The 26,947-nt window shown below is 46.4% G+C and overlaps 1 protein-coding gene across 7 annotated transcripts in view, besides 8 other annotated features; it reads left to right on the forward strand.

The window, feature by feature from the left end:
- The window catches only part of MLXIP (MLX interacting protein), a 68,589-nt gene that overhangs the window by 8,228 nt on the left and 33,414 nt on the right, over positions 1-26,947 (forward strand). The window lies entirely within an intron of this gene.
- Positions 9,224-9,724: an enhancer, noted in NCBI's record as "H3K4me1 hESC enhancer chr12:122580754-122581254 (GRCh37/hg19 assembly coordinates)". NCBI's record gives its function as "activates a minimal SCP1, AML or CMV promoter by ChIP-STARR-seq in naive H9 embryonic stem cells {active_cell/tissue: H9 hESC(naive)}" and the evidence as "EXISTENCE:reporter gene assay evidence [ECO:0000049][PMID:30033119]".
- Positions 9,725-10,225: an enhancer, noted in NCBI's record as "H3K4me1 hESC enhancer chr12:122581255-122581755 (GRCh37/hg19 assembly coordinates)". NCBI's record gives its function as "activates a minimal SCP1, AML or CMV promoter by ChIP-STARR-seq in naive H9 embryonic stem cells {active_cell/tissue: H9 hESC(naive)}" and the evidence as "EXISTENCE:reporter gene assay evidence [ECO:0000049][PMID:30033119]".
- Positions 10,963-11,122: a silencer, noted in NCBI's record as "fragment chr12:122582493-122582652 (GRCh37/hg19 assembly coordinates)". NCBI's record gives its function as "represses an EF-1alpha promoter that drives an FKBP-Casp9 reporter gene in an ReSE screen in phorbol 12-myristate 13-acetate-treated (for megakaryocytic differentiation) K562 erythroleukemia cells {active_cell/tissue: K562(+PMA)}" and the evidence as "EXISTENCE:reporter gene assay evidence [ECO:0000049][PMID:32094911]".
- Positions 10,963-11,630: a biological region, named in NCBI's record as "H3K27ac hESC enhancer GRCh37_chr12:122582507-122583160".
- Positions 10,977-11,630: an enhancer, noted in NCBI's record as "H3K27ac hESC enhancer chr12:122582507-122583160 (GRCh37/hg19 assembly coordinates)". NCBI's record gives its function as "activates a minimal SCP1, AML or CMV promoter by ChIP-STARR-seq in primed H9 embryonic stem cells {active_cell/tissue: H9 hESC(primed)}" and the evidence as "EXISTENCE:reporter gene assay evidence [ECO:0000049][PMID:30033119]".
- Positions 11,631-12,284: an enhancer, noted in NCBI's record as "H3K27ac-H3K4me1 hESC enhancer chr12:122583161-122583814 (GRCh37/hg19 assembly coordinates)". NCBI's record gives its function as "activates a minimal SCP1, AML or CMV promoter by ChIP-STARR-seq in primed H9 embryonic stem cells {active_cell/tissue: H9 hESC(primed)}" and the evidence as "EXISTENCE:reporter gene assay evidence [ECO:0000049][PMID:30033119]".
- Positions 21,807-22,126: an enhancer, noted in NCBI's record as "active region_7205". NCBI's record gives its function as "activates an Ori minimal core promoter by ATAC-STARR-seq in GM12878 lymphoblastoid cells {active_cell/tissue: GM12878}" and the evidence as "EXISTENCE:reporter gene assay evidence [ECO:0000049][PMID:35858748]".
- Positions 25,139-25,433: an enhancer, noted in NCBI's record as "tiled region #11163; HepG2 Activating DNase matched - State 9:DNaseU". NCBI's record gives its function as "activates a minimal TATA promoter and a strong SV40 promoter by Sharpr-MPRA in HepG2 cells {active_cell/tissue: HepG2}" and the evidence as "EXISTENCE:reporter gene assay evidence [ECO:0000049][PMID:27701403]".

A 26,947-nucleotide genomic window follows, 5' to 3' on the forward strand; every position in this document is an offset into this window, starting at 1 on the left:
CTTCTGGATCCGCCCAGCTTGAGCCTGCCAGGGCCTGTGTCTCACATATGGACCTTGCTATGAGCTTCCTGGGACCATCAACACTCTTGGCGGTTGTCTAATTGAATTAGCCCCATGAGGGCTAATTGAGAGGGAGCCTGGCTGGCCGGGCCCCAGAGCATGAGGCTGGCTATGATCTGGGTTTGGCCGCCCCAGCACAAATGCTTTTTCCCTCCAGAAGTATTAATCAGGCACACCCTGTTGTGTGCAGGCACGGTTCTAGCCCTTGGGGATACAGTGGTAAGCAAGGCGGGTTAGTCCTCTCCCCTCATGGGACTTCCATGCTAGTGGGGGGATTGTCAGCACATCAGGTCTTATATTGTGAGTGCAGGCAAGAATAGAAAGAAGATGAAGGCTAGAGAGTACTGGGGCTGGGGAGGGTGGGTGGCTACTTTAGGCTGGGTAGAGAAGTCCTCTGGGGGAGGTGACCTTTCTGGGTGAACTCTGAAACCTAAGTGTCAAGTAGGAGCCAGGCACGATGGTCGTTCCAGGTGCGGGAAGAGGCCCAGGCAGAGGCCTTCGCTGGAGTGAGCTTGGCGCATTGCAAGGTTAGAAAGAAGGCTAGCTTGGTCAGAATGTAGAGGGCAGGAGTGAGTGGCAGGAGGTAAGATAGAAGAGGCAAGGGGCCTTGTGGGCCAGGGTAGGAAGTTAGGAGATGGTTTTGGTGGCACTGGGGAGTACTGGTTTATCTCCACAGGGCGGCTGGGGCCAGTCTACAGGAGACGGGTCTAGGGAGGGTGAGAGCAGGAGCGAGGCTACCAGTTGGGCGGTTGTGGAGCTCCAGCCTCAGACTAGGACGGTAGCAGCGAGGTGGTGAGGAGCTGTATTCAGGGTGGTTTTTGGACTTGCTGGTGAATTGGACCTGGCAGATGAAAGGAAGAAAGGAATCAACAGTGACTCTGAGGTTTGGCCTGAGCAGCTGGGGCCATTACTGAAATGAAGAAGGCTGGGCAAGGAGCGGTCAGCTGTGAAGCTGGGGTATGTCACGCTGAGGACACCACAGTGCACAAAGCTCGGCTGCCTGGGGGCTGCCCTGACAGCCAGAGCCGTGGGCGGGCAGCTTCCCTGAGAAGGGCTGAGGGCTGTCAGTGTGGTGGACATCACAGCCGCCTACTTTGCCCTACCCAGGTGCCCTAGGTTTCTTCTTGCTCCCCTGCCCCTCCCCCTCTGCTGTCCCTCTCCAGGGGAGGCTTTGGAGTTTGGAGCTTGCGTTCTGAGTGGCGTGGAATATGCATCTCCTGCGGGCTGTTTCTGCTCAGCTGAGTCTGGTGGTGCTGGAGAAATACTGTCTGCTTTGAATACCCTAGAGACCTCTCCAAGCCCAGCATTGTTGATGTATTTGGGAGCTGACTGCACCATCAGAAAAATCTTCTAGAAGGAGGCAGTAGAGAAGGGGTGATTTTGGTAGCTCCAGAAGGGGCTCCAGCATCTGGAGAAAGAATTCTAGGAAGAGGATTCCATGTCATCCGCCTTTAAGTCTCGGAAGTAAGCATGAAGAATCCCAGTGGTGAGGAGGAAAGGCTGAGGAGTCAGAAAAAGCTCCTACAAGAAGATGGAACAGCTCCTACAAAGAGGTGGCTGTGGGTAGAAGCAGCCGCCTGGGGCAGTTTTCAGGCTTTGGAGAAGGAAAGCAGCTTCTCTGTTGAGGAATATTCTGCAAGTAGGTGATCCACTTTGAAAGCTGGTTACTATTCCTTCCTTCTAGGCCTGTCGGTGGGGAAGGAGGGCAGCCGTGTTTGCTCTGCTCCCATGAGGCAAATTCGGTCACCAAAACAAAAAAACAGCTTCTTATGTAGAAAGCAGGGGAATTAGCCTAGTTTTCGGATATTCACCCAGTATTCTAGCTTTTTAAAGAACAGCCTGAAGAGGCTGGGTGCAGTGGCTCATGTGTGTAACCTCAGCACTATGGGAGGTTGAGGCGGGAGGACTGCCTGAGCCCAGGAGTTTGAGACCAGCCTGGTCAATGTAGTGAGACCCCCATCTCTACAAAAAAAAAAAAAAAAAAAAAAATTAGCTGGGTGTGGTGGTGCCTGTCTGTAATCCCAGCTGCTGGGGAGGCTGGGGCAAAAGGATCCCTTGAGCCCAGGAAGTGGAGGCAGCAGAGCTATAATCATACCACTGCACTCCAGCCTGGATGACAGAGCAAGACCCTGTCTCAAACAAGCAAACAAACAAATAGAACAGCCTGAAGAACCTCTTCATATGGTTACATGGTCACATGGTAACCAGCCCGTTCACAATGGGCTGCCTCATTTTAAGACTGGCAGTTGGGACCTGCCCAGATAGCTTGATACTGAGCTTTTTAAAGAAAGTGAATCAATAAATTCCTTTTATTTATTAAAAGGAAACGCTTTCAATGCATTCTTAAAACAGTATATAATTATCCTAGCTTGGTGTTTTAAACAACTGTTTTCTAGTTGAGTAGCAGGGTCTTTTAAATTGCCTCTTTTGTCTTTAAATTATCAAGCAGATCTTTCTCTGCCTTGAAGCAGAAAACTCTTTCATCCGTTTGTAGTCAGGCTTTTTTCTTTTTAACACAACTTTCTGTAAGTGTAATTTACATAGCATAAAATGGACCCATTGTAAGTGTAAGGTTCAGTGATTTTTTTTTTTAGTTGTGCAGTCATTGTCACAGCCCAGTGCTGGGACATTCCATCACCTCAGTAAGATCCCCAGAGTACATCCATGTTGTAGCACACATCAGGTGTTTAGTGCATTTTAATGCTGAATAGTCTTCAGTTTTTTGGATGTACCACATTTTGTTTTCTTGACATGTTTTTGAGGAGACACCTAGTACCTTTGTTATTCGGGTATTGACTTCCCATTTCCTGTAATAAGGCTCTTATAGAATCAGCTAGGAACTTCCTTACAGGATGAGAAGAAGGAAATGGCTGTGAGGTATGTGGAAAGATGATGGGATTGGAAGCCACAAGACAGTGGTGCGACTGGTTAGCATCTGCCCCTTAGCTCCTTAAGTCTTGGTGCCCATGAGGGTGGAGGATGCAAGAGAGAGAGGGTTAGACTGGAGTCATGGTTACCAACCTTACTCTTCTTCCATGGCTTTCTTTTTTGAAAGATATTACCTTAGGAACAAAGCGCATTCAGTAATTTAAAAAGAAACAAATTACCAGTATATGCCACAACATGGATGAATCTCAGAAACATTATGTTGAATGAAATAAGCCTTACCCAGCCGGGTGTGGTGACTCACGCCTGTAATCCCAACACTTTGCGAGGCCGAGGCAGGCAGATCATTTGAGGTCAGGAGTTCGAGACCAGCCTGGCCAACATGGCGAAACCCTGTCTCTACCGAAAATACAAAAAAATTAGCTGGTGTGGTGGCACATGCCTGTAATCCCAGCTACTCGGGAGGCTGAGGCAGGAGACTCTCTTGAAACCGAGAGGCAGAGGTTACAGTGAGCCAAGATCCCACCACTGCCCTCCATCCTGGGCAACAGAGCGAGACTCTGTCTCAAAAAAAAAAAACAAAACAAAACACATAACAAAATAAGATGGATTAATGGATGGAGAAATGGCTTAGTAGTTATAATTGTAAGAATTCAGGTGGTGGGTACTTGAGTATTCATTGTACAGTTCTTTCAACTTTCCCTGTATGTTTGATAATTTTCTTAATAAAATGTTAGGAAAATTGCATTTATTTGAAGGATGACCATCATGGCTTTATCATGAGCAAGTAAATACTTTTAAAAACATTGATCTACCTGAAGCTATCTTCCCAGAAATAAAAAATATTGAAAACAACTTTTGCAATGAAGTACTGATGCATGCTGCAACATGGAAGAACCTTGGAAACGCTGCACTAGGTGAAAGAAGCCAGACACAAAAGACCACGTATGTGATCTGTTGATGCGAAAGGCCTAGAGTAGCAAACTCATAGACACAGAAAGCAGAGCAGTGGCTGCCAAGGGCTGGGGAAAGGGAAAATGGATAGTCACTGCTAATGGGTTGTTTTTTTTTTGAGGCTGTGATGAAAATGTTCTAAAATTAGGGTGGCGATGGTTACATAACTCTGAATATACTGAAAACCACTGAACACTTTTAAAGGGTCACTTTGATGGTGTGTAAATTATGTCTCAATAAGCTGTTATTGTTTAAAAAATATTGAAAACAGTTCTGACTTTCAACATTATCTTTAGGAATCTGACTTGGGAAGTGCAAGATCAGATGATCTTGGAGATCTTAACTATGTCAGTGTCTAGAAATTCCATGATTCTTTATCTTTACTGTGTACAGTAAGTGGAGGAGTGTTTGGGAAAGTGACCTCCTTGGAGCATTCCTTCTAGACTGAAGATGACGTGGGAATTGGTTTCTTCAGCTTGCACCAGAGCTTGCCAAATCACTCTCTGTAAAGTTAGTTTGTTAAGACCTTTACGGCCGGGTGCAGTGGCTCAGGCCTGTAGTCCCAGCACTTTGGGAGGCCAAGGCAGGTGCATTGCTTGAGCTCAGGAGTTTGAGACCAGCCTTAGCAACATGGCAAAACCTTGTGTCTGTTTAAAAAAACAACAAAACAAAAAAAGACTTTTTCTTCTTTTATCTGGGTCAAGGGTCACAAACTTAAATGCTCACAAGGGCCAGGAAATAGGATATCTGTAAGGCTAAAAAGACCTTTTCTGTTATTTATTTTCCTCCTTTTCATAAAGTCATGGTTATGGAGAAATCTCTGTTTGTTATGAAAACCGTAAGCATCAACTGCAGTTGACTTGGTCTCAATGACAGGCGGTAGGGAGTAGTGGAGACTGTGGTGGTGAACTAGAGTGTTTGCTGAAAGAGCAGCCATCACTTAACTTCAGGTGATTCTTGCCATGTGGGAATGTGAGCCTAGTGTTATGAGATTCGACATATTTGAAAAACTGGAGGAAATCTGGATTTAAGGTCTGAATTCAGCTATTAGGTATTCTGGGGTTGTGAGTTTAATCTAGATTGAATCTGGTTTAGAAGTGAGTCTTGGCCTAAGCGATGAAGGCGGTGTGCTGTTTGCCACAGAACGGCTCTGGCACAAGAAATATTTTTTTTCCCCTTTCTTTTTCTTTCTTTTTCTTTTCTTTTCTTTTCTTTTTTCTTTTCTTTTCTTTGAGACAGGATCTCTCCCTGTCACCCAGACTGGAGTGCAGTGGCGCGATCTCAGCTCATTGCAACCTCCACATCCTGGGCTCAAACTGTCCTCCTGCCTCAGCCTCCCAAGTAGCTGGGACTACAAGGCATGCAGCACCATGCCTGGCTAATTTTTGTATTTTTTGTAGAGACAGGGTTTTGCCATGTTGCTCAGGTTGGTCTTGAACTCCCAAGCTCTAGCAACTCATCTGCCATGGCCTCCCAAAGTGCTGGGATTACAGGTGTGAACCACTGAGCCCAGTCAAGGTAGTTTTTTTTAGGTGTTCTTACACTACGTCTACCTTCTTGGCCCTGCTCTGTTTAAAGTCACAGGACCATAATCTTCTGAATACCAAATCTAAGACTGCCTGGTACACCCCAGAGGTATGCATGTGCCTAGGAGACGGTTAGTTACTCTGAGTTATGAGGAGCTGGGGTGATGATTTTAAGTATTCTTGTTCTGGGAATGGAGGGTATATTCTCCATTTTGTGAAATTCTTGGACTATAGGTTACATTCCATTTTAAGCTATCACCCCTCAGCATCACCACCATACTTGACTAAGGTGGGACTGTTTGCATAGGGTAATTTTGGGATGGGGGAAAGGGACAATACTTTGAACTCTATAAACGGTTGATTTGGCTGGAGTTGAAACAAAATTACAACATTAAGTTAGACTGAGGAGGGCTCTGTCTTGACTCTTGTTTAGTTTCCGACCTGCACATTTTATGTTATGTTACCTATCTTCGGCTTTGCTTCCCCAGTGTGTGTGTTGTTGTGTGTGATGTGTGTGGGGTGTGGTGTGTGTGGTATGTTTGTGTGGTGGGGTGTGTGGTGTGGGTATGTATGTGTTGTGTGTGTTGTGTGTATGTGTGGTGTGGTCTGTGTATATGTATGTGTGGTGTGTGTGTATGGTGTGTGTGGTGTGCATGTGTTGGTGTGTTTGCTGTGTGTGTTGGTGTGTGGTGTGTGTGTTGGTGTGTGGGATGTGTGTGGGGTCTGTTGATGTGTGTGTTGGCGTGTAGGGTATGTAGTGTGTGTAGTGTGTGGGGGTGGATGTCTGTGTGTGGTGTGTGTTGGTGTGTGGTGTGTGTAGTGTATGGTATGTGTTGGTGTGTGTGCAGTGYGGGTGTGGGGTGTGCATTTGTGCTGTCTGTATGTAGTGTGTGTGTGGTGTGGGTGCGTGGAATGTGTTTGCAGTGTCTGTGTATTGTGTGTGTTGGTGTGTGGTGTGTGTTGGTGTGTGTGGTGTGTGGGTGGTTATGTGTGTGGTGTGTGTTGGTGTGTTATATGTGGGGTGTGTGTGTTGTATGTGTGGGGTGTGTGTATGTTTGCGGTGTGTTTGGTGTGTGGTGTGTGTGTGCGGTGTCTGTGTTGGTGTGTGTGGAGGGTGTGTGTGTTGGTTTGGGGGGTGTGTTTGCGGTGCCTGTGGCATGGGTGTAGTGTGTGTGTTGGTGTGTATGGTGTGTGTTTGTGGTGTGTGTGTGGTGTGTGTGTTGGTGTGTGGTGTGTTGGTGTGTGTGTTGATATGTGTGTGTGGTGTATGTGTGCGGTGTTGGTGTGTGGGGTGTGTTGGTGTGGGGGGTGTGTTTGCGGTGCCTGTGTGGTGTGTGTGGTGTGGGTGTAGTGTGTGTGTGGTGTGTGTATTTGCAGTGTCTGTGTGTGTCGGTGTGTGTCGTGTGTTGGTGTGTGTGTCAGTGTGTGTGGGGTGTGTGTTTGCAGTGTCTGGTGTGTGGGGTGTGTTGGTGTGTGTTGGCATGTGTGTGTGGTGTGTGTGTGTTTGCGGTGTCTGGTGTGGTGGTGTGTGGGGTGTGTTGGTGTGTGTGTTGGCATGTGTGTGTGGTGTGTGTGTGTTTGCGGTGTCTGGTGTGGTGTGTGTGCAGGGTGTGGGTGTATTTGCGCTATCTGTGTGGTGTGTGTGGTGGGTTTGCGGTGTCTGGTGTGGTGTGTTGGTGTGTGTGGTGGTGTGTGTGTGGTGTGTTGTGTGTGTTGGTATGTGTGTGGGGTGTGTGGGATGTGTATGTTTGCAGTGTCTGTGTGTGGTGTTGGTGTGTGTTGTGTGTGTTGGTGTGTGGAGTGTGTGGGTGTGTGTATGTGGTGTCTGGTGTGGTATTGGTGTGTGTGTTGGTGTGTGGGTGTGTGCGATGTCTGTGTGTGGTGTGATGGTGTGTGTGGTGTGTGGTGTGTTGGTGTGTGTGTGGTGTGTATGGGTGTGTGTATGTTTGCGGTGGGTGTATGTTTGCAGTGTCTGTGTGGTGTTGGTGTGTGGTGTGTGTGGTGTGTGTGGGGTGTGGGTGTGTGTATGCGGTGTCTGGTGTGGTATTGGTGTGTGTGTGTTGGTGTGTGGGTGTGTGTTTGCAATGTCTGTGTGTGTGGTGTGTTGGTGTGTGTGTTGTGTGTGGTGTGTTGGTGTGTGGGTGTGTTTGCAGTGTGTGTTGGTGTGTGGTGTGTTGGTGTGTGTGTTGGTGTTGTGTGTGTGGTGTATGTTTTCGGTGTCTGTGGTGTTGGTGTGTGTGGTGTGTTGGTGTGTGTGCAGGTGTGTGTGCGATGTCTGTTGTGTGTTGTGTGTGTGGTGTGTTGTATGTGTGGTGTGTTGGCATGTGTGTGGTATGTGTGGGTGTGTGTATGCGGTGTCTGTGGTGTTGGTGTGGGGTGTGTGTTATGTGTGTGGTGTGTTGGTGTGTGTGTTGGTGTGTGTGGGGTGTGGGTGTGTTTGCAGTGTTTCTATGGTGTGGTGTTGGTGTGTGTGGTACGTATGGGGAGTGTGTGGGTATGTGTGTGCATTGTCTGGTGTTGGTGTGTGATTGTGTGGTGTATTGGTGTGTGTTGGTGTGTTTGTGGGGTGTGGGGGTATGTGTGTGCGGTGTCTGTGTGGTGTGGTGTTGGTGTGTTGTGTGTGTGGGGTGTGTGGGAATGTGTGTGGTGTCTGTGGGGTGGTGTTGGTGTATGTTGTGTGTGGTGTGTTGGTATGTGTTGGTGTGTGTGGGGTGTGGGTATGTGTGTGGTGTCTGTGTGCGGTGTGGTGGTGTGTGTGGTGAGTGCGGTGTGGTGGTGTGTGTGGTGTGTGGTGTGTTGGTGTGTGTGTTGGTTTGTGTGTGGGATGTGTGGGTATGTGTGTGCAGTGTCTGTGTGGTGTGTTGGTGTGTGTGGTATGTTGTGTGTGTGGGGGGGTGTGTGTTTGCAGTACACACTCACACATGCACACTTAGTGCTTGTGCGGCCGCCTTGCACAGGTTCCTTAGGATTCCTGGCTCTGGCTTTTGGATCTGATTTGGAAAGGTGTTGGCAAGTAGCTTTATGGTTCTTAAGTGCCTTAGCATAGGCCTCGAATCCAGATTCAAATAGCGTTTGTATTTATCCGCCACACAGTGCTTCCTCTGCAGAGACATGTTTGCTGAAAAGTTGGGGAGTTCTTTAAAGCTTAGGACCTTACTTTTTGGAATTTGTCCACATCTTTCAGGCCTCCTTCCAGATTTTACTCATTGTTATTTCTCTATGTTCATAGTATAGTTTTTTTTTTACATTTTAAAATTAAAGTTAACCTTTTCTTTTCAAGTTGCATTTCAAATTATCATAGAAAATCAGAAATATAGGTAAAGCTAAAAGAAAGAAATAAAAATTACAACACCCAGAGATAACTTGTCAGTTCTCTAGTGTTTATCCTTATAGACCTTATTTTTTATTTTTATTTTTTGCATGGTGAGTATATATATATTTTCCTTATTTTTATTTTTATTATTATTTTTTTTTGAGACAGAATCTCGCTCTGTCGCCAGGCTGGAGTGCAGTGGCGCGATCTCAGCTCACTGCAACCTCCGCCTCCCTGGTTCAAGTGATTCTTCTCCCTCAGCCTCCCGAGTAGCTGGGACTACAGGCTTGGGCCACCACGTATTTTTTCCATTTAATAGAGTGTGAACATCCCTCCAAGCCACAAAATATCCATCTGCAATTTTTTATTTTTTAAAGATAGGTCTCACTTTGTTGCCTAGGCTGGGCTGCAAATGTGTGATCATAGCTCACTGCAGCCTTGAACTCCTGGGCTCAAGCAATCGTCCCGCCTCAGCCTCCCGAGTAGCTGGGACCACAGGTGTGCACCGCCACACCCGGCTTCTGCAGTGTTTCTTAGTGGCTGGATAGTATTTCATTGTATGGATGTACTACTATTTATTTTCTCTCTCTCTGTTGATCACCGAGAATATTTCGCTGGTGTTTTTGATAACGCCTCCCATGTTTCTAGGCCCCTGTTCCATTCATCTCTGTTTTCATAGCCCTGGTTGGCTACTTTCTCTGAAAATGTCTGCTTCCTCCTCCTTCCTGATAGGAGCCTTTACCCTGGGAAGCTTTCAAGTCTCTAAAAATGGCAGCAATTCTTATCACCACTTTAGGCACCCCTCCTTGTCCCACTGTCCCACCCTCCCAGGACAGGTGTGTCTAGGGGAATGGTGGTCAGCAGGCGCGGAGCTGAACGGTGGCCTGTTTATTCTGAGTCCGGGAGTGGAAGCTCCTGCGCTTTCACATTTGTCCAGCAGCCTGCTGTGGGGCAGGGGTAGAACGCACAGTCAGCAGCATGCCCGCAGGACTGATGCCGCAGCTTGCATGCCTTGTGGTGCTCTGCTGACAGACCCCCGAGGCTGTGACCGCGGTGTCCCCGAGGTGACTCCTGCCCTTGGCTGTTTGTTGTGCCTGAGGTAGGGAGAGCAAGGCTCTGTGAAAGTTGTGATTCCAGGTGTGAGTCCCCCCAGCTGGCGTGAGCTCTCACGTGGAACTGGAATGCTGCGGGTACATGTCCCTGCAAGTTACAAAACTGGGGAATGACTTGGTACATGGAAGGAAGAGCTGACTCAACGCTCTGAAAAATGATTTAAGTATTTTTTGTCAGATTGAGTCCGGAGATGCCGCTGTCTGGCTTGGCAGCCTTGCTTCTCAGCTGCTCGCTTGTGGTGCTTCCGTGGGCCTGTCTGTCCTAACACTTGCATTGTCAGAAGAGTGCTCGGCAGAGGAGCTTTTGGCCGAAGGCATGAGGACTTTGGTTATGGGTGTTTTTTTTGGGCGGACAGGGTCTCGCTCTGTCACCCAGGCTGGAGTGCAATGGTGTGATCACAGCTCACTGCAGCGTTGAACCCCTGTGCTTAAGCAGTCCTGTCACCCTGGCCTCACTACAGGTGTGAGCCACTGCACCCAGCCTTAATTTTAAAACATAACCAGGGCCAGGTTTGGTGGCTCACGCCTGTAATCACAGCACTTTGGGAGGCTGACGTGGGAGGATCACTTGAACCCAGGAGTTCCATATCATCCTGGGCAACATAACGAGACCCTATTTTTACAAAAACTAAAAAATTAGCCAGGTGTGGTGGCTCACACCTGTAGTCCCAGCTGCTCAGGAGGCTGAGGCGGGAGGATCTCTTGAGACCAGAAGTTGGAGGCTGCTGAACTATGATCACTGCACTCCCGCCTGGGTGACAGAGTGAGACCCTGCCTCTAAAAAAAAAAAAAAGTAATTAATTAATTAAAATTGCTCAGGCCCAGCTGTGTGAAGGCCGGTGTCCCCACACTGCCCACCATCCCCCTGCTGTGTTCTTGCTGAGAGTTCCTTACTGAGGGCTCCATTTCCTGGCCCGGTGGAATGCCTGCTCCCAGCTCCCTACTCTCCCAGGCTGCTCCCTTATCTATTGGGCCAGTCTCTGTTTCCCTTTAGTTTTGGAATCCATGGGTTCCCCCTCCCCACAAGAAACCTTGGCAGAAGGCTTTGTCCATAGGGAAGCAAAGAACCCAGTTAGCAGCTCAGCTCTGGCCTGGCCTTGGCCTTGACCTTTCACAGTACTGTGAGCCAGCAGGTAGGTAAGCTCACTGGTGCTATGCACGGCCTCCTTCAGATCCTTCTCAGGGCAGCCTACCAGAGACTGTATTTGCAGAGGAGCTGGCAGGGCCTGTGTGGAGCCAGCTGCGCTGCGCCTGATAAGTTTGTTTGCTTATCTTTGTTTGTGTGCTTGTTGCTGGCTCCTTGGAGCTATGGGTGTGTTTGTGGGGTGTTGGAGATGACTGACCCTGATTGGTAAAATAGGGATGAAGCGAGCAGGGCAGGGTGTGGTGTGAGAAATAATGTCATCTATTCTTCCGGTGCCCCCCACTTCTTCCCCACAGAGAGATTTTCCTTCTGTTCCCTGTCCTAGAGGGCCCTGGGGCAGCAGCTTTTAGGTTCTTGGAAAGATGGGGAGCAGCCACCCCCGCTGAGCAACTCAGATTGAGGTTGGGGTGTGCTGCCCTCCCAGACGACTGGAAGATTGACACAGCAGCGCTCTTTCAGTTCTTTGTTCTTTGTTGGCTGGGATCACTGGAAATATATCAGTGAGACTTAAATGTGTCCTGGGAGCTTGAGCTGCCCAGTAGGCGACCCATGGCTGCAGAACAGCCAGCTCCAGCAATGTGTCATCCTGGAAGGGCAGCTGGCCTGCCTTCTGTCAGGTCACATGGGTTGGCTGATGTTGGTTTCTGTGTAATTTTTTTCCTCCTTTTTAACATGGTGCCTCAAAGTCACGGGGACTTGAGGGTAGAAATTAGGAGGGAAGGGCAGGTTTTTCAGCTGGCTCTTGGGCTGTGCTTGACAAAGCCATCATTGTTTTGAATAAAGTGCCAGTTGGTGTGGTTTGCGTCGCTCCGGTGCTCTGAAATTGGCTTCTCTTCTTCCACCTCTGCTGCTGATCCTGGGGGTGGGCTGGGAGGAGGACCACTGGTTCCAGAGAAGAAACCACTTCCCTTTGCCTCCCTGCTCAGCAGGAGCAGCGGGAACAGCGTCTTAGGACAGTGAGTTAACTACTGCAGAGCAGCTGGGCGTGGTGGCTCACGCCTGTAATCCCAGCACTTTGGGAGGTCAAGGCGGGAGGATCACTTGAGCCCAGGAGTGTAAGACCAGCCTGGGCAACATAGCAAGATCTTCTACAAAAATTATTTAAAAAATTAGCCAGTCATGGTGGCATGTGCCCGTGGCCCCAGCTACTTGGGAGGCTGAAGTAGGAGGATGGCGTCAGCTGGGGAGTTTGAGGCTGCAGTGAACCATGATCGTGCCACTGCACTTCAGCTGGCCTAGGCAACAGAGCAAGGCCATGTCTCCAAAAAAACCAAAACAAACCAAAACAAAACCCCAAAACAAACAAACACAAAAACCAAACTATTGCAAAGCAGATTGCTGTCTCTTGGTCCAGAGGGCATCCTGGACCCCAGCTGTTGGCAGCCAGCGGGCATCCTGGACCCCAGCTGTTGCAGCCAGCCTTGCCTCTTGGTAATGCCCTGGGGGCATTGCCCTTCCAGGCATCGTGCTGCGCACTGGTGGCCCCAGCCTCACTTGGCCCTAGCCTGTTCCAGACATGAGACCGCCTGCTGTGGTCAGGTTCCCCACCTGCTGTCCCTGCAGCCCGGGCTGATTTCCCCAATGACCTTTTTGGTCTGATGTCTGTCCCTATCATGTGTATGATGCCTCAGGCTACAAATAACCAGCAAGAGAGAACAGTTCCTCTGCTGAACTCCCTCAGGGGGAGGAGCAGAGCCTCAGGGCTTTGGCTTTCTGATGCCAACTTAGGTTGCATTGTCCTACCTCTGCGCCTCCTTGGTTTCCTATTTGTGTGGCTATATGAGGAATAGTCCTCATATCCAAATATATTTGTGGAAATCCCAGCCCTGAAGGAGTTTAGGGCATTAGGAGAACTCCCTTGGTGGGTGGGAGGGTGGAGGCGGCTCACATGGAAAGGTGTTTGTAGTGAGAAGATGGAGACTACATTTCCTCCCCAAGTCAGGAACTTCGTTTCTCTGCATTTGAATCAATAGCTCTCCAAGTGCAGTGTGGTTATACCCCGACATTTGAAGAGCCAGGAAGGAGGAAATGCAGAGTGCAAAAACATGTCAGGTCTCTGCCCCAGACAGCCAAGTTCAAGTGTTTTTTTTTTCTCAAAGATGGAGCTGCAGTGCAGGAGGAGTGTAGACCTGGTGAACAGAGCTGGGTGGTCAGGTGGCAAGATGAAATGACCTTATCTACAGGGTTAGTTATTCAGACTGACTTGGGAAGCACCTCTGTGGTACCATTTGAGGAGCACAGAAGAATCTGTGAATGGATCTAAAATGACTTCTTTAGGTCAGTCCTTTGAGTTTTATGGGATTAAGGTTGGCTTGCTATTAAAATGTGTTTGTAAAAATACCTAATTTGCCCCTCTCTTAAGGAATAGAGCTTCCTTTGATATTAACCAGTTTTCTAGATCACTGTTTATTTTGTTTAATCATCTCTTTTACAAAATTAACCATTTTTAATGGGAAGTAGAAATCTGTCTCAAATGCATACTCATTTTTGCTGCTTTCTTGAACATATTGAACATAACTTTTGATTATTTAGAAACATATTTTTGAATATTATTTATTGCATTATTGTGGTAATCTTTCATTGTTAAGGTATATTGAATTCTCTGTTCAACAGTCCCAGACTTTCTCATGAGTTAGGTTTTCAACTTGAATGATCATCTCCTCTAGGCTTTTGGCTGTCACTTGCTCAGCAGTGAGTTTCCCTTTTTGTCTGGTGTCTCCCATTTTCTATTGGTTTGCATAACTTGTTAAATTGAGTGTAAAACAAGGGTAATTAACTTAGTGAGGGTTTAGAGACTCTCCTCTGAGTCAAGTGCACAGACCTTTGTTATCTATCTTGAATTACTTTTACTTACTTCTGGATAACTAAATTAAGCTCCAGATAATTGTGAGATAATGGTATACATACAGACTCCTTTTACAGAATACTCCGAAGCCATTATTAGCCAGTTATTAGCCAGTTACATCAGTGAATGTTGTTCACCAGATTAACTTGTATGTGTAATAGAAATTATCTGCAAATCTTGTGAAAGGGCAAAGATCCTCAACTCTTCAAAAAATTATAATATATTCTCATTTTTGAAATCTGGCAAATAAGTAAACTCAATCAACAGGGCAGACTATGTCCCCGGGCTAACTGAATTTTACTTTTTGCCAATTATGAGATGGACATTCACTTCTTCCCCTTTGCCAAGAGGAAATCATTCTGTGGAGGTTCTTTTCCTTCCTCCTCCCTCATCACATAGAGGTGTATGCTCATGGTCAAATGCAGGATTCAGACATTTTGGAAAGACAGGAAGAAAAGAGCCCTGGAAAGCTGCTCTTAGAGTTACACCCTGTTGTTTTGTCACTTTGCTTTTTTTTCTTTTTTTTTTTCCTGTGCCCATGTAGGTAAAAATAGACCTGCAGCATCATTTTCAGTTGTCTTTTGAAGAACAAAAGTTTTTAATTTTGAGAAAGTCTAATATATGTCTTTTTTTTTCTTTTCATGCTTTTTGTGTTGTATTTAAGAAATCTTTGCCAATCCAAGGCCTGTAAGATTTTTCTCCTGTATTCTCTTCAAGAAGTTATTTATTTATTTATTTATTTATTTTTTTCTTTTTTTTTCTTTTTTTTTTTTTTGAGACGGAGTCTCGCTCTGTCGCCCAGGCTGGAGTGCAGTGGCGGGATCTCGGCTCACTGCAAGCTCCGCCTCCCAGGTTCACGCCATTCTCCTGCCGCAGCCTCCCGAGTAGCTGGGATTACAGGCCCATGCCACCATGCCCAGCTACTTTTTGTATTTTTAGTAAAGACAGGGTTTCACCATGTTAGTCAGGCTGGTCTCGAACTCCTGACCTTGTGATCCACCCACCTTGGCCTCCCAAAGTGCTGGGATTACAGGCGTGAGCCACCGCGCCCGGCCTTCTCTTCAAGAAGTTTTATAGTTTTAGCTTTTACATTTAGGATGTGAACCATTTTGAGTTAATATTTGTATATGGTGTGAGGTAAGGGTTGTGATTCAGTTAAATAGTCCTTTGATGACTATCCTTGTTTATAGCTCTTCTCATTATACTTCTTAAATTATTTCCTTGAGATATATTCTCAAAAGTGAAACTACAAGATCAAAGTAGGTATTCACACTGAAGTCTGATATACATTGCAAGAGTAGTTTTCAAAAGTTGTATTAATTAGAAAAGACAGCCCCTAGAATGGGAGAACATATTGGCAAATTATATATCTATTAAAAGATGTATATTTAGAATATATAAAGAATTCTACAAATTAAAAAAAACACAAATAACCCAATTTAAAAATGGACAGAGGACTTGAATAGACATTTTTCCAAAGAAGATACACAAATGGCCAATAAACATGTGAAAAGATGTTTAATACCATTAATCGTTAGGGAAATGCGCTCAAAACCACAGTAAGAGGCTACTTCACAGCATTAGCCTGTGGAAAGTGTGGGAGAGCATCGAGATCCATTCCCTCTGTGTGCTGGTGGGAATGTACAATGGTGCAGCTGCTGTGGAAAACAGTCTGGCAACTCCCCAACACATTAAACATGGAGTTACCATGTGACCTAGCAATTCCCTTCCTAAGAATCTCCCCAAGAGAAATGAAAATATAGTTCCTACAAAAACTTGTACACAGATGTTCACAGAAGTATTAATCATAACAGCCAAAAGTTGGAAATAGTCTAAATGTCCACCAGCTGATGAATGGATTAAACAATGTGATATATCTGTGGATAGGAATATTATTCAGTGGCAAACAGGAATGGAATGCTGACACATGCTACAACATGGATGAGCCTTGAAAACATGACACAGAGTGAAACAAGTCAATCCCAAATGGTTACATACTATATGATTCCACTTATGTGAAATATGAAACGTCCAGAATATGCATTCATGTAGAGACAGAAAGTGGATCAATAGTTGTTTAGGGTCGAAGTGGAATAACTAAAGAGTGTGGGCATTTCTTTTAAATGCTCTAAAGTTGTGATGGCAGTTGCATAGCTCTCTGAATATATGAAACACGATTGAATTGTACACTATTTTTTGAGACAGGGTCTCGCTCTGTCACCCAGGCTGAAGTGCAGCGGCATGATCACGGCTCTCTGCAGCCTCGACCTCCCAGGCTCAAGGCATTTTCCCGCCTTGGCTTCCCAAGTAGCTGGGACTACAGGTGTACGCCACCATGCCTGGCTAATTTTATATGTATGTATGTATGTATGTATGTATTTATTTATTTATTTATTTATTTATTTATTTATTTATTTTTGAGGCAGAGTTTCACTCTTCTACCCAGGCTGGAGTGTGGTGGTGCAGTTTTGGCTCACTGCAACCTCCACCTTCTGGTTTCAAGCGATTCTCTTGCTTCAATCTCCTAAGTAGCTGGGATTAGAGGCGCCCGCCACCATGCCCGGCTAATTTTTGTATTTTTAGTAGACACGGGATTTACCATGTTGGCCAGGCTGATCTTGAATTCCTGACCTTGTAATCCACCTGCCTTGGCCTCCCAAAGTGCTGAGATTACAGGCATGAACCATTGCACCTGGCCTTTTTTTTTTTTTTTTTGAGACAGAGTCTCGCTGTGTCACCCAGGCTGGAGTTCAGTGGCACGATCTCGGCTCACTGCAACCTCTGCCTCTCTGGTTGAAGCAGTTCTCTGCCTCAGCCTCCCAAGTAGCTGGGATTACAGGTGCCCACCACCACACCTGGCTAATTTTTGTATTTTTTTTTTTTTTTTAGTAGAGACAGGGTTTCACCATCTTGGTCAGGCTCGTCTTGAACTCCTGACTTTATGATCCTCCCGCCTTGGCCTCCCAAAGTGCTGGGATTACAGGTGTGAGCCACTGTGCCCGGCCTAATTTTGTTTGTTTTTTTTTTTTTTTGTAGAGACAGGGTTTTGCTGTGTTGTCCAGGCTGGTCTCTAACTTCTGGGCTCATGTGATCCTTCCGCCTTGGTCTCCCAAAGTGCGGAGATTACAAGTGTAAGCTACCGTGCCTGGCCAAATTGTACACTTCAAATGAGTGAACTGTGTGGTATGTGAACTATATTCCAATAAAGCTGTTACAGAAAGCATGTGGTACCAATTAATAGTCCCACTAGTGTTATTTAAGAGGGTCCAACTCCTTACATTATCCCCAACCCTTGGGTATCATTACTATAATTTAAAAACTTCAATCAGCTCTATTAAGGTATAATATGTAAACAATAAAATTCACCCTTACAAGTGTACTGATTTATAGTTTTGGCAAATGTATGCACACATGTGACCACTGCAATCAATATACAGAACATTTCCATGACCCCAGAAGGTTCCCTCGCGCCCTTCCCAGGCATCCTCTCCTTCCCTATCTGCGCACTATCACTGTGAATCAGATTAGTCTTTCCGTGTGTTTTGTATAAATAGAATCAGACAGTTTGTATCCTTGTGTCTCGCTTCCTTTGTTCGGCATGTTTTTAAGACTTATCCATGTTGCTGTCTGCACCTGTAGTTAATATTCTGTCGTATAGATATAGCAGTGCGTTTTCTCCATTCATGTGTTGGTAGATGTATTTGATTTATCTTCAGTTTTCTTGTTTTTGGCTTTACCATAATTACCTTTTCTTTTTTTTTTTTTTTTTTTTTTGAGACGGAGTCTCACTGTCTCGCCCAGGCTGGAGTGCAATGGTGCGATCTTGGCTCACTGCAACGTCTGCCTCCCGGGTTCAAGCAATTCTCCTGCCTCAGCCTCTCGAGTAGCTGGGACTATAGGTGCCCGCCACCACGCCCAGCTAATTTTTTTGTATTTTTAGTGGAGATGGGGTTTCACCACTTTAGCCAGGATGGTCTTGATCTCCTGACCTTGTGATCTGCCCACCTCGGCGTCTCAAAGTGCTAGGATTACAGGCATGAGCCACCACACCCGGCCAGCCTTTTTTCTTGTAGAAGAATCCTTCTGCCTTCCCCCCGTGGCTCTGACCTTTTGAAGGGACTGGCCCAGTTGTCTTGAAGTCCGTCCCACAGTCTGCATTTGTCGTTTCCTGGTGAACATGTTTCCTTGCTCCCCGTGTTTCCTCTAAACCACTAAATCACGTGAGTCCTGAAAGGCTTTGTTAGATTTAGGTGAAACATTTTTGGTGGGTGCCTCATGGGCGATCACATCAAAGGTCCATACTGTCAGGTGGGCCCACTGTTGGTGGTGCTAAATTGGGCCATTTGGTTCAGACCTTGACAGCCACATCCTTTTTATCTCTGCAGTTAGTCACTGGGGAAGCTTCACTGATTGTGGAGCTCCTTACACCTTAAGGACTAAGCTTTTTTCCTAATGCCTCTCTCAGTTTGACACTTACCTTCTAACTTTGCTTATTGATTTTTTTTTTATTTAGAAGAGATTTTTCACGGGTTTTTTTTTTGGAGACGGAGTTTCGCTCTTGTTGCCCAGGCTGGAGTGCAGTGTTGAGATCTCAGCTCACCACAACTTCTGCCTCCCAGGATCAAGAGATTCTCCTGCCTCAGCCTCCTGAGTAGCTGGGATTACAGCCGTGCCCGGCTAATTTTGTATTTTTAGTGGAGATGGGGTTTCTCTGTGTTGGTCAGGCTGGTCTAGAACTCCCGACCTCAGGTGATCTGCCTGACTCGGCCTCCCAAAGTGCTGGGATTACAGGAGTGAGCCACCGCGCTCGGCTGATTTTTCACTTTTATGTGGTCAAAACACCCATGGTACAAAAGAGGTATCTCTCAAAAACTTCCCTTTTAGAGGCGGAGCTTGCAGTGAGCCGAGATTGTGCCACTGCAGTCCGGCCTGGGCTAAAGAGCGGGACTCCGTCTCAAAAAAAAAAAAAACTTCCCTTTTATAAGCCCTTTCCCCCCCTTCTTTTCCTCCTCTCTCTCTTGTTCCCTTCTTTCTCTGTCTGCTTTACTTTAGAACCTGATGTGACAAATTAGCTTTGATTCCTATTCTGTCATCGTTTTGGACTATAGGTTCAGACTATAGGTTCACACTTAAGTGTGAGATGTTGGCCAACTGGCATTTCCATCGCTTCACTTGCTCTTCTTTTTCAAGGATTTGCCTGTTGCCCAGGCCAGCCCCTGGCTGGGAAAAGTAGCAGCAAGGTTGGGACTTTGATCCTAGGCTCTGCACTGTGGGTGGTGTTATCTCAACTTATCCTCTGTCTTCAAAGCTGCAGACCCATTTATGGTGGTGATGGAGAAGGGAGGGAAGAGCATGGGCCAGAAGCCAAAGCTGCTCGTTTCTGGAGAAGGCCTCCTGATTCCCTCTGCCTGAAACCCTTTTCTCTCCCTTCTTTCCCTGGTTAACTCCTGCCCGTCCTTGGAGACTCCGCTCAGGCATCCTAATTAAGGAAAACACCACTGGGTGCCCCTCCATTGCACTTCCATACACTCCACACATGCCTTTGCTCACTCAAAGGAAGACCTTTCTGTCTTCTGCATTAGCTCGTGAGGTCCTGAGGGCAGAGCCAGGGATGGCATTGTCACTGTGTTGTCACTGTCTGTGCAGAGCCTGACACATCGGGCTTTTGGTAAGTGTTGCTGGGATGTTCCACTCCCTGGCCTGCAGAGGGTTTCTGTATGGTGTGGATGCATTTGATTCCTGGTGGTGAAAGCAAGATGGAATCGCAGGTTCTTTTTTTTTTTTTTTTTTTTTTTTGAGATGGAGTCTCACTCTGTCATCCAGGCTGGAGTGCAGTGGCGCGATCTCGGCTCACTGCAACCTCCGCCTCCCGGGTTCAAGTGATCCTCCTGCCGTAGCCTCCTGAGTAGCTGGGACTACAGGCCTGCACCTCCAAGCCTGGCTAATTTTTGTATTTTTAGTAGAGATGGGGTTTTACTATGTTGGCCAGGCTGGTCTCAAACTCCTGACCTCAGGTGATACACCCACCTTGGCCTCCCGAAGTGCTGTGATTACAGGTGTGAGCCACAGCACCCGGCCTTCACTGCTCTTGATTCCCATAGATTCATGGAGCTGAAAGAGAGGTAGCAGCATCAGCTGCACCAGCTGCACTAGCTTCCGGGTGCAGGACTCCAACTGGGCCCACGCCTCTCCTCTGAGAGCACTGGCAGGGGTTCAACGTCACCAGCCCTCCTCCTTGTGTTCTCCTCTGTCTGTCGCCCTCTCCCAGGTTGTCCACTCTGTAGCTTGACTAAGAGGCACTTGATAAGGGTCACTGCTGTGAAGTGTGCCTGAGAGCTGATGGTGCAGGCAGTCATCAGGCCCTTGGTGGCATTTCCTCGTGGCGGGAGCTGGGGGTTCAGGTGACAGGACAGCTGTGAAACCCCCAGCTGCAATTCCTGTGTAAGGGCTAATAAAGACATTTCTGCCTGTGCTGTCGCTCTTGGTGGGATGCATTTGCATTTTCCTGGATGTACCTAATCTCACAGCTCTGGTGCTCTCCAGCTCCGCAGCACCTTTGTTCAGCATCCCCCCACAGTCGTTCCCCCTCTTCCCATCCAGAGTCACGGTGAGGCTTGGCCACAGTGGCCTAGAGGCTTTAATTGTGCGGTTCCCACAGCACAGTGAGTCAGACAGCCCTGAACGTCTTGGGAAGCATCAGCTGAATGTATGAATTCTTTTTACTGAGAACCTCCTGTGTTCCAGATAGAAAGTCAGTCTGCTCTAAATACCTGGCTTCATTTCATTCTTACCACAGCTCTGTGAAGTAGTTTTCTTTTTTTCCCAAAGAAAGTGAAGTTCTGAAAGGCCAGGTGTCTGTCCAAGGCTGCAGAGCTGGCAGGCAGTTGGACACTGACTGCCCTCTCCCGGCTCTCCTGTGGCTGGTGGTGACAGGGTGGTTAGAAAAGTGTCTTTTCCGAGTTGGCCCTGATTGAAAAGGGGGATTTGGGGGGACATTGTCCTCCCCCAGCTCTCCTGTGACCAGTGGTGACAGGGTGGTGATAAAAGCATCTTTCTGAGTTGGCCTTGATTGGAAGGTGGGGGGTTGCGGGGACACTGCCCTCTCTGGCTCTCCCCTGGCCGGCGGTGACTAGGTGGTAATAAAAGTATCTTTCCAAGCTGACCCTGATTGGAAGGTGCGCCATGTGTCCCCTGCGAAGGGCAGCCTGGCCTGTGATGCTGCTGATGGAGAAGATGAATTTTTATGACATTAAGACAGAATCAGGGCCGAAAGGGGTGGTTCACACCTGTAATCCCAGCACTTTGGGAGGCTGAGGCGGGTGAATCACGAGTTCAAGAGATCAAGACCATCCTGGCCAACACGGTGAAACCTCGTCTGTACTAAAAATACAAAAATTAGCCAGGTATGGTGGCGGGCATCTACAATCTCAGCTACTCAGGAGGCTGAGGCAGGAGAATGGCTTTAACCCAGGAGGCAGAGGTTGCAGTGAGCTGAGATAACACCACTGCAACTCTAGCCTGGCGACAGAGCGAGACTCCATCTCAAAAAAAAAAAAAAAAAAAAAGACAGAATTAGATTTCCTCAGTAAAATCTGGGATTTTGCCATCAGAGGAATCATATTATCATTCTTCCTTATGTCAGGAAAGGGTAGCAGGCCCTTGTACATAACACGAGGACTGAAACTTTATAGTCAAAAAATCAACATAAATGGTTGGCTTCAAGTTTTGTTCATAATTACTCTCTCCCTGCTCGACTCCTCCCCACCTCTAAATGCACGCTGGCCCCCAAAGATCTGCAGGAAGGAGAAGACACAAAATCTCCTTCCCATGTGGGTCACGCCCTTTCATTAGTCCGTGAGCTCCTGCAAGGCCTGTGTTTTGCTTTCACTTGTGTGTGGAGGGAACCAGCAGTACATCAGGGACTTCGGTTTTGAGAAATGAGTGCCCATCACTGTCTAGGCAGACTTCTTTTTCCTGCTCTGTAGTTTTTCTTAAATTATGTGTGTCTTACAAATTCTCATTCCATTTTAGTCTATTCTTCCAGGAGGCCTTCAAGCAGGGGTAAATGAAAGAGAGAGACATTAGTCACTCTGACCTTGACTTTTAGTGACTAAACCTGTGCTCACCCTCATGTGAAACTATAAAAAATATAATTTCCTTTTTAGGTGGCACAATCTCAGCTCACTGCAACCTCTGCCTTCCGGGCTCAAGTGATTCTCCTGCCTCAGCCTCCTGAGTAGCTGGGATTACAAGCGTGCACCACCACACCTGGCTAATTTTTGTATTTTTAGTAGAGATGGGGTTTCACCATGTTGGCCATGCTGGTCTCGAACTCCTGACCTGAAGTGTTCTGCCCACCTTGGCCTCCCAAAGTGCTGGGATTACAAGGCGTGAGCCACCACGCCCAGCTAATTTTTGTATTTTTAGTAGTGACGGGGTTGCACTGTGTTGGCTAGGCTGGTCTTGAACTCCTGACCTGAAGTGATCCGCCCGCCTTGGCCTCCCAAAGTGTTGGGATTATAGGCATGAGCCACTGTGCCCAACTACTTTTTGTATTCTTAGTAGTGATGGGGTTTTGCCATGTTGGCCAGGCTGGTCTCGAACTCCTGGCCTTAAGCGATCCACACTGGGATTACAGGTGTGAGCCACCGTGCCTGGCCCAAATTGTTGCTTTTCACAGACAGGAAAGAAATGTAGATATATGGAATGCTGACAAAGATGTAATCCGTTCATACGTCTCAGGAGAGACAGAAGGGCTGTTTGACCTCAGATGGGTTGGCTGAGGAGATTTGCAGCATGTCTGAAATACAAAAACTGTTTCTACAGCTTGCCTTCGATTTAGAGTAGGCTCCAACTCTTCTGCCCATCCCAAACTCCTTTGCTACTTGGAAGGTTAATAAGTTGACTAAAAAACACCCATGGGAAGAGGATGCAAAGGAGAGATTTAGGTTGACAACTGATTCTCAGTAGCAGATGGGAGAAAGCATCTTTAGCAGGCAAAGGGAAAATGGATTTTATTTTGGAATTTCTATTATGTGATGAGGGCAGTACAAAGTTGTTCGTATGCTTTTTTGAATCCTCTTCCTCAAATAAGCCAGAATCCTGTGGTTGCAGTGGGTGTTACAGGATCCAGCTATTCTTCCTTTTGCCGAATGGAAGTGGGTGTGACCCCAACGCATCCCTGCTCTGGGTGCCTCTCATTTTTATTCTTTAGGGCCAGGAACTCTCTTTCTGGGGAGGGATACAATTCCAGACCCTTAAAACTGAAAATAATTGGGAACAATCTTTACTGAATTATCTCTTGTCTCAAAAAGGGAAAAACCTATTTAAAGCCTATTTAGGTTTAGGGTCAGGTACGGTGGCTCACGTCTGTAATCTTAGCACATTAGGAGGCCGAGGCAGGAGGATTGCTTGAGGTCAGGAGTTCGAGATCAGCCTGGGCAGCATGGGGAGATGCTTATCTCTCTTTTTTTTATTTTTTGAGACAGAGTTTTGCTCTTGTTGCCCAGGCTGGAGTGCAATGGCGCGGTCTTGGGTCACTGCAACCTCCGCCTCCTGGGCTCAAGCAATTCTCCTGCCTCAGCCTCGTGAGTAGCTGGGATTACAGGTATGTGCCACCACGCCCGGCTAATTTTGTATTTTTAGTAGAGACAGGGTTTCTCCATGTTGGTCAGGCTGGTCTCAAACTCCCAACCTCAGGTGATCCACCCGCTTCGGCCTCCTAAAGTGCTGGGATTACAGGTGTGAGCCACTGCACCTGGCCTGGGAGACGCTTATCTTTACCAAAAAAATTAAAATTTAGCTGGGCATGGTGGTGCATGCCTGTAGTCCCAAATTCTTGGGAGGCTGAGGTGGGAGGATCACATGAACCCAGTAGTTCAAGGCTGCAGTGAGCTATGATCATGCCACTGCACTCCAGCCTGGGCAACAGAGCTAGATCCTGCTCTTCAAAAGAAAAAAAAATAAAAAAAGGGCTGGGCGCAGTGGCTCACGCCTGTAATCCCAGCACTTTGGGAGGCCAAGGTGGGCGGATCACGAGGTCAGGAGATCGAGACCATCCTGGCTAACATGGTGAAACCCCGTCTCTACTAAAAATACAAAAAATTAGCCGGGCGTGGTGGCGGGCGCCTGTAGTCCCAGCTACTCAGGAGGCTGAGGCAGGAGAATGGCGTGAACCCAGGAGGCGGAGCTTGCAGTGAGCCGAGATGGCGCCACTGCCCTCCAGCCTGGGTGACAGAGCAAGACTCTGTCTCAAAAAAAAAAAAAAAAAAGTCTATTTATAGGTCTTGGCTACCTGGCGAGTGTTACCTTATCCTTTTAAATGCATCAGACAGCTTCAGATTTCTTTGACTTGTAAGTAGGCTGTGTAGCTGGCAGTGCCTTGAAATGACTAATAGTGGTGATAATATCAAATTTGTTTTTTGTCAGTCTTCATAGGTGCTTAGAAACATTTGCAAGTATGATCTGTTTTTATTACATCTCTGGTAGCCAATTTCTAGAGTCTTGACTCCAGGTGTGTACTCTGGCTAGAGAATGCTGTTCCTTGATTTATTGCCTCTTTAAGCCAGGTGTCTGCAATTGGGTAGAGTTTTTCATTCTTTACATAAACATTTTACCTTGGTGAATATTTAAACCAACTACCAACTGAATTACCTTTTTATGAAGGTGCTAGGGAAAAGCTGTATTCTTTGGGGACAGTCATGCTTAGTACTGAATATAATGGAAACCTTTCCCTGCTGCCTGTGGCTTAGCCGTTTGGTCAGGGTGAGGGTGGCAGCTGCCATATCAGCTAGGTGGGGCTATGTCAAACACAATAAAATGAGGATAGTGCTTGTGTTTGAGTGGTATAACTGCGTGATTTGGTTTTGTTTTGCTGTTTTTTCTTTCTAAATTTCCTTTTTATATTATTTAGAAATGTTAGAAAAATATGATCAGAAATGTGAAGGAGGTTCATGAAGCAAATTATAGCAAACCAGATAGCTTTGGATTTCTCTTTTTAAGTAGGTTAAGTAGTGTAAGTAGAATAACATTCCTTAATTTGGTATGGTGATGGCCCAATTTGAAGTGGGGTGCTGCCTACATTAATTGATTTATTAAACATAATCCCAATCAACATATTAAAATAGTTTTCTTTTTTCTTTTAGAATAGTTTTATTTTGAGATTTGTCAACATGGTCATAAAGTTCACTTGAAAGAATAGTAGGCAAGAATTCTAAAATTGTTTTAAAAGATGATGGGTGCTAACCTTACTTAGATAGTAAAGTATAGCACAGAGTTGTGGTGATTAAATTAGTGTGATGGCAGCACAGGATTGGACACAGGTCAGTGGTGATGCAGGGCCCAGAACAAGCCCTGGTATAGGTGAAGATGCAACATATGTTCAGAGAAGTGTCGTAAGTCATTGTGGGAAGATGAGACAATGAGATAACTAGTTGGAATTTGTTTTTGTGAGCTGTGTAAAGAACTAAATTGATTTTCTCCCCAGATGAATCAGAGTTATGTAAAAAGTGAAATCATTAAAAATGTATGTACAGGCCGGGCGTGGTGGCTCACGCCTGTAATCCCAGCACTTTGGGAGGCCAAGGCAGGCGGATCACAAGGTCAGGAGGTCGAGACCATCCTGGCTAACACGGTGAAACCCCATCTCTACTAAAAATATATATATAAAAAAATAGCCGGACGTGGTGGTGGCGGGCGCCTGTAGTCCCAGCTACTCAGGAGGCTGAGGCAGGAGAGTGGCCTGAACCCAGGAGGCAGAGCTTGCAGTGAGCCAAGATCGTGCCACTGCACTCCAGCCTGGGCAACAGAGCGAGACTCCATCTCAAAAAAAAAAAAAAATGTGTGTACAAAACCCATAAGAAACAACATCCAGAAGTGGTCCCAAATATATGTATCTATGGGAAGGGGGTGTATGATGAAGATGGACCTTTAGTTTAATGGGGAAAGATGGATTATTTAGGAAATCTTACCTAAAGCAGGATCCCTACATCATCCCTGTACATTCATTCCACCAAATAAATCCTAGTTGGCTTTATTGAATTGAATGTAACAAGGGAAGCCGTGAAAGTTCTAGAAGGAAATAGGTAAGTGTTTTCAAAGTCTTAGGCTAGGAAAAGCCTTGTTAAGTACGACACAAAAAACAGAAGCATAAAAAAAGGACTTCTAAATTTTGACTATGTTAATGAAAATTAGTGTTTATCACAGCATTGTTTATTTGAAACAGCACGTCTGTTAATATAAATGTATGTCTGTGGGGAAATGGTTAAGTAGATTATGATAAATGTGTACAGTGAAATATTCTGTATATAAAAATAAAATAATATAAAACTTTATTGGCATAAGATGTCTGTGACATATAAGTGAAAAATGGGTTATAAAACAAACCTGTTCCTACCTATTTAAGCATTATGTTATTCATATATATATGGATTTTTTGGTTTTTTCTTTTTGTTTTGAGACAGGGTCTCACTCTGCCACGCAGGCTAGAGTACAGTGGTGAGTTCACAGTTCACTGCAGCCCTGCAGCTTCCACCTCCTGGACTCAGGTGCTCCTCCCACCTCAGCCTCCCGAGTAGCTGGGACTACAGGCATGTACCACCACACCTGGCTAATTTTTGTATCTTTTGTAGAGATATGGTTTCGCCATGCTGTCCAGGCTGGTCTCGCTCTTCTGGGTTCAAGCGATCCACCCACCTCAGCCTCCCAAAGTGCTGGGATTACAGATGTGAGCCACCACATCCAGCCTATTTATATATTTTTATCTTTATTTATATACATACATAGTCAGATGAATATGTATTGCCAAGACTTAAGGGCCAACTTCAGAGTTAGAACAGTCCATATAACTGCCTTCATTTCTTTTTTTTTTTTTTTTTTTTTGAGACGGAGTCTCGCTCTGTCGCCCAGGCTGGAGTACAGTGGTACGATCTCAGCTCAGTGCAAGCTCCGCCTCCCAGGTTCATGCCATTCTCCTGCGTCAGCCTCCCGAGGAGCTGGGAGTACAGGCACCCGCCAGCATGCCTGGCTAACTTTTTTGTATTTTTAGTAGAGACGGAGTTTCACTGTGTTAGCCAGGATGGTCTCGAACTCCTGACCTCGTGATCCGCC

The sequence above is a fragment of the Homo sapiens genome, chromosome 12, assembly GCF_000001405.40.
Source record: "Homo sapiens chromosome 12, GRCh38.p14 Primary Assembly".
In the NCBI taxonomy this organism is placed as follows: Eukaryota; Metazoa; Chordata; class Mammalia; order Primates; family Hominidae; genus Homo; species Homo sapiens.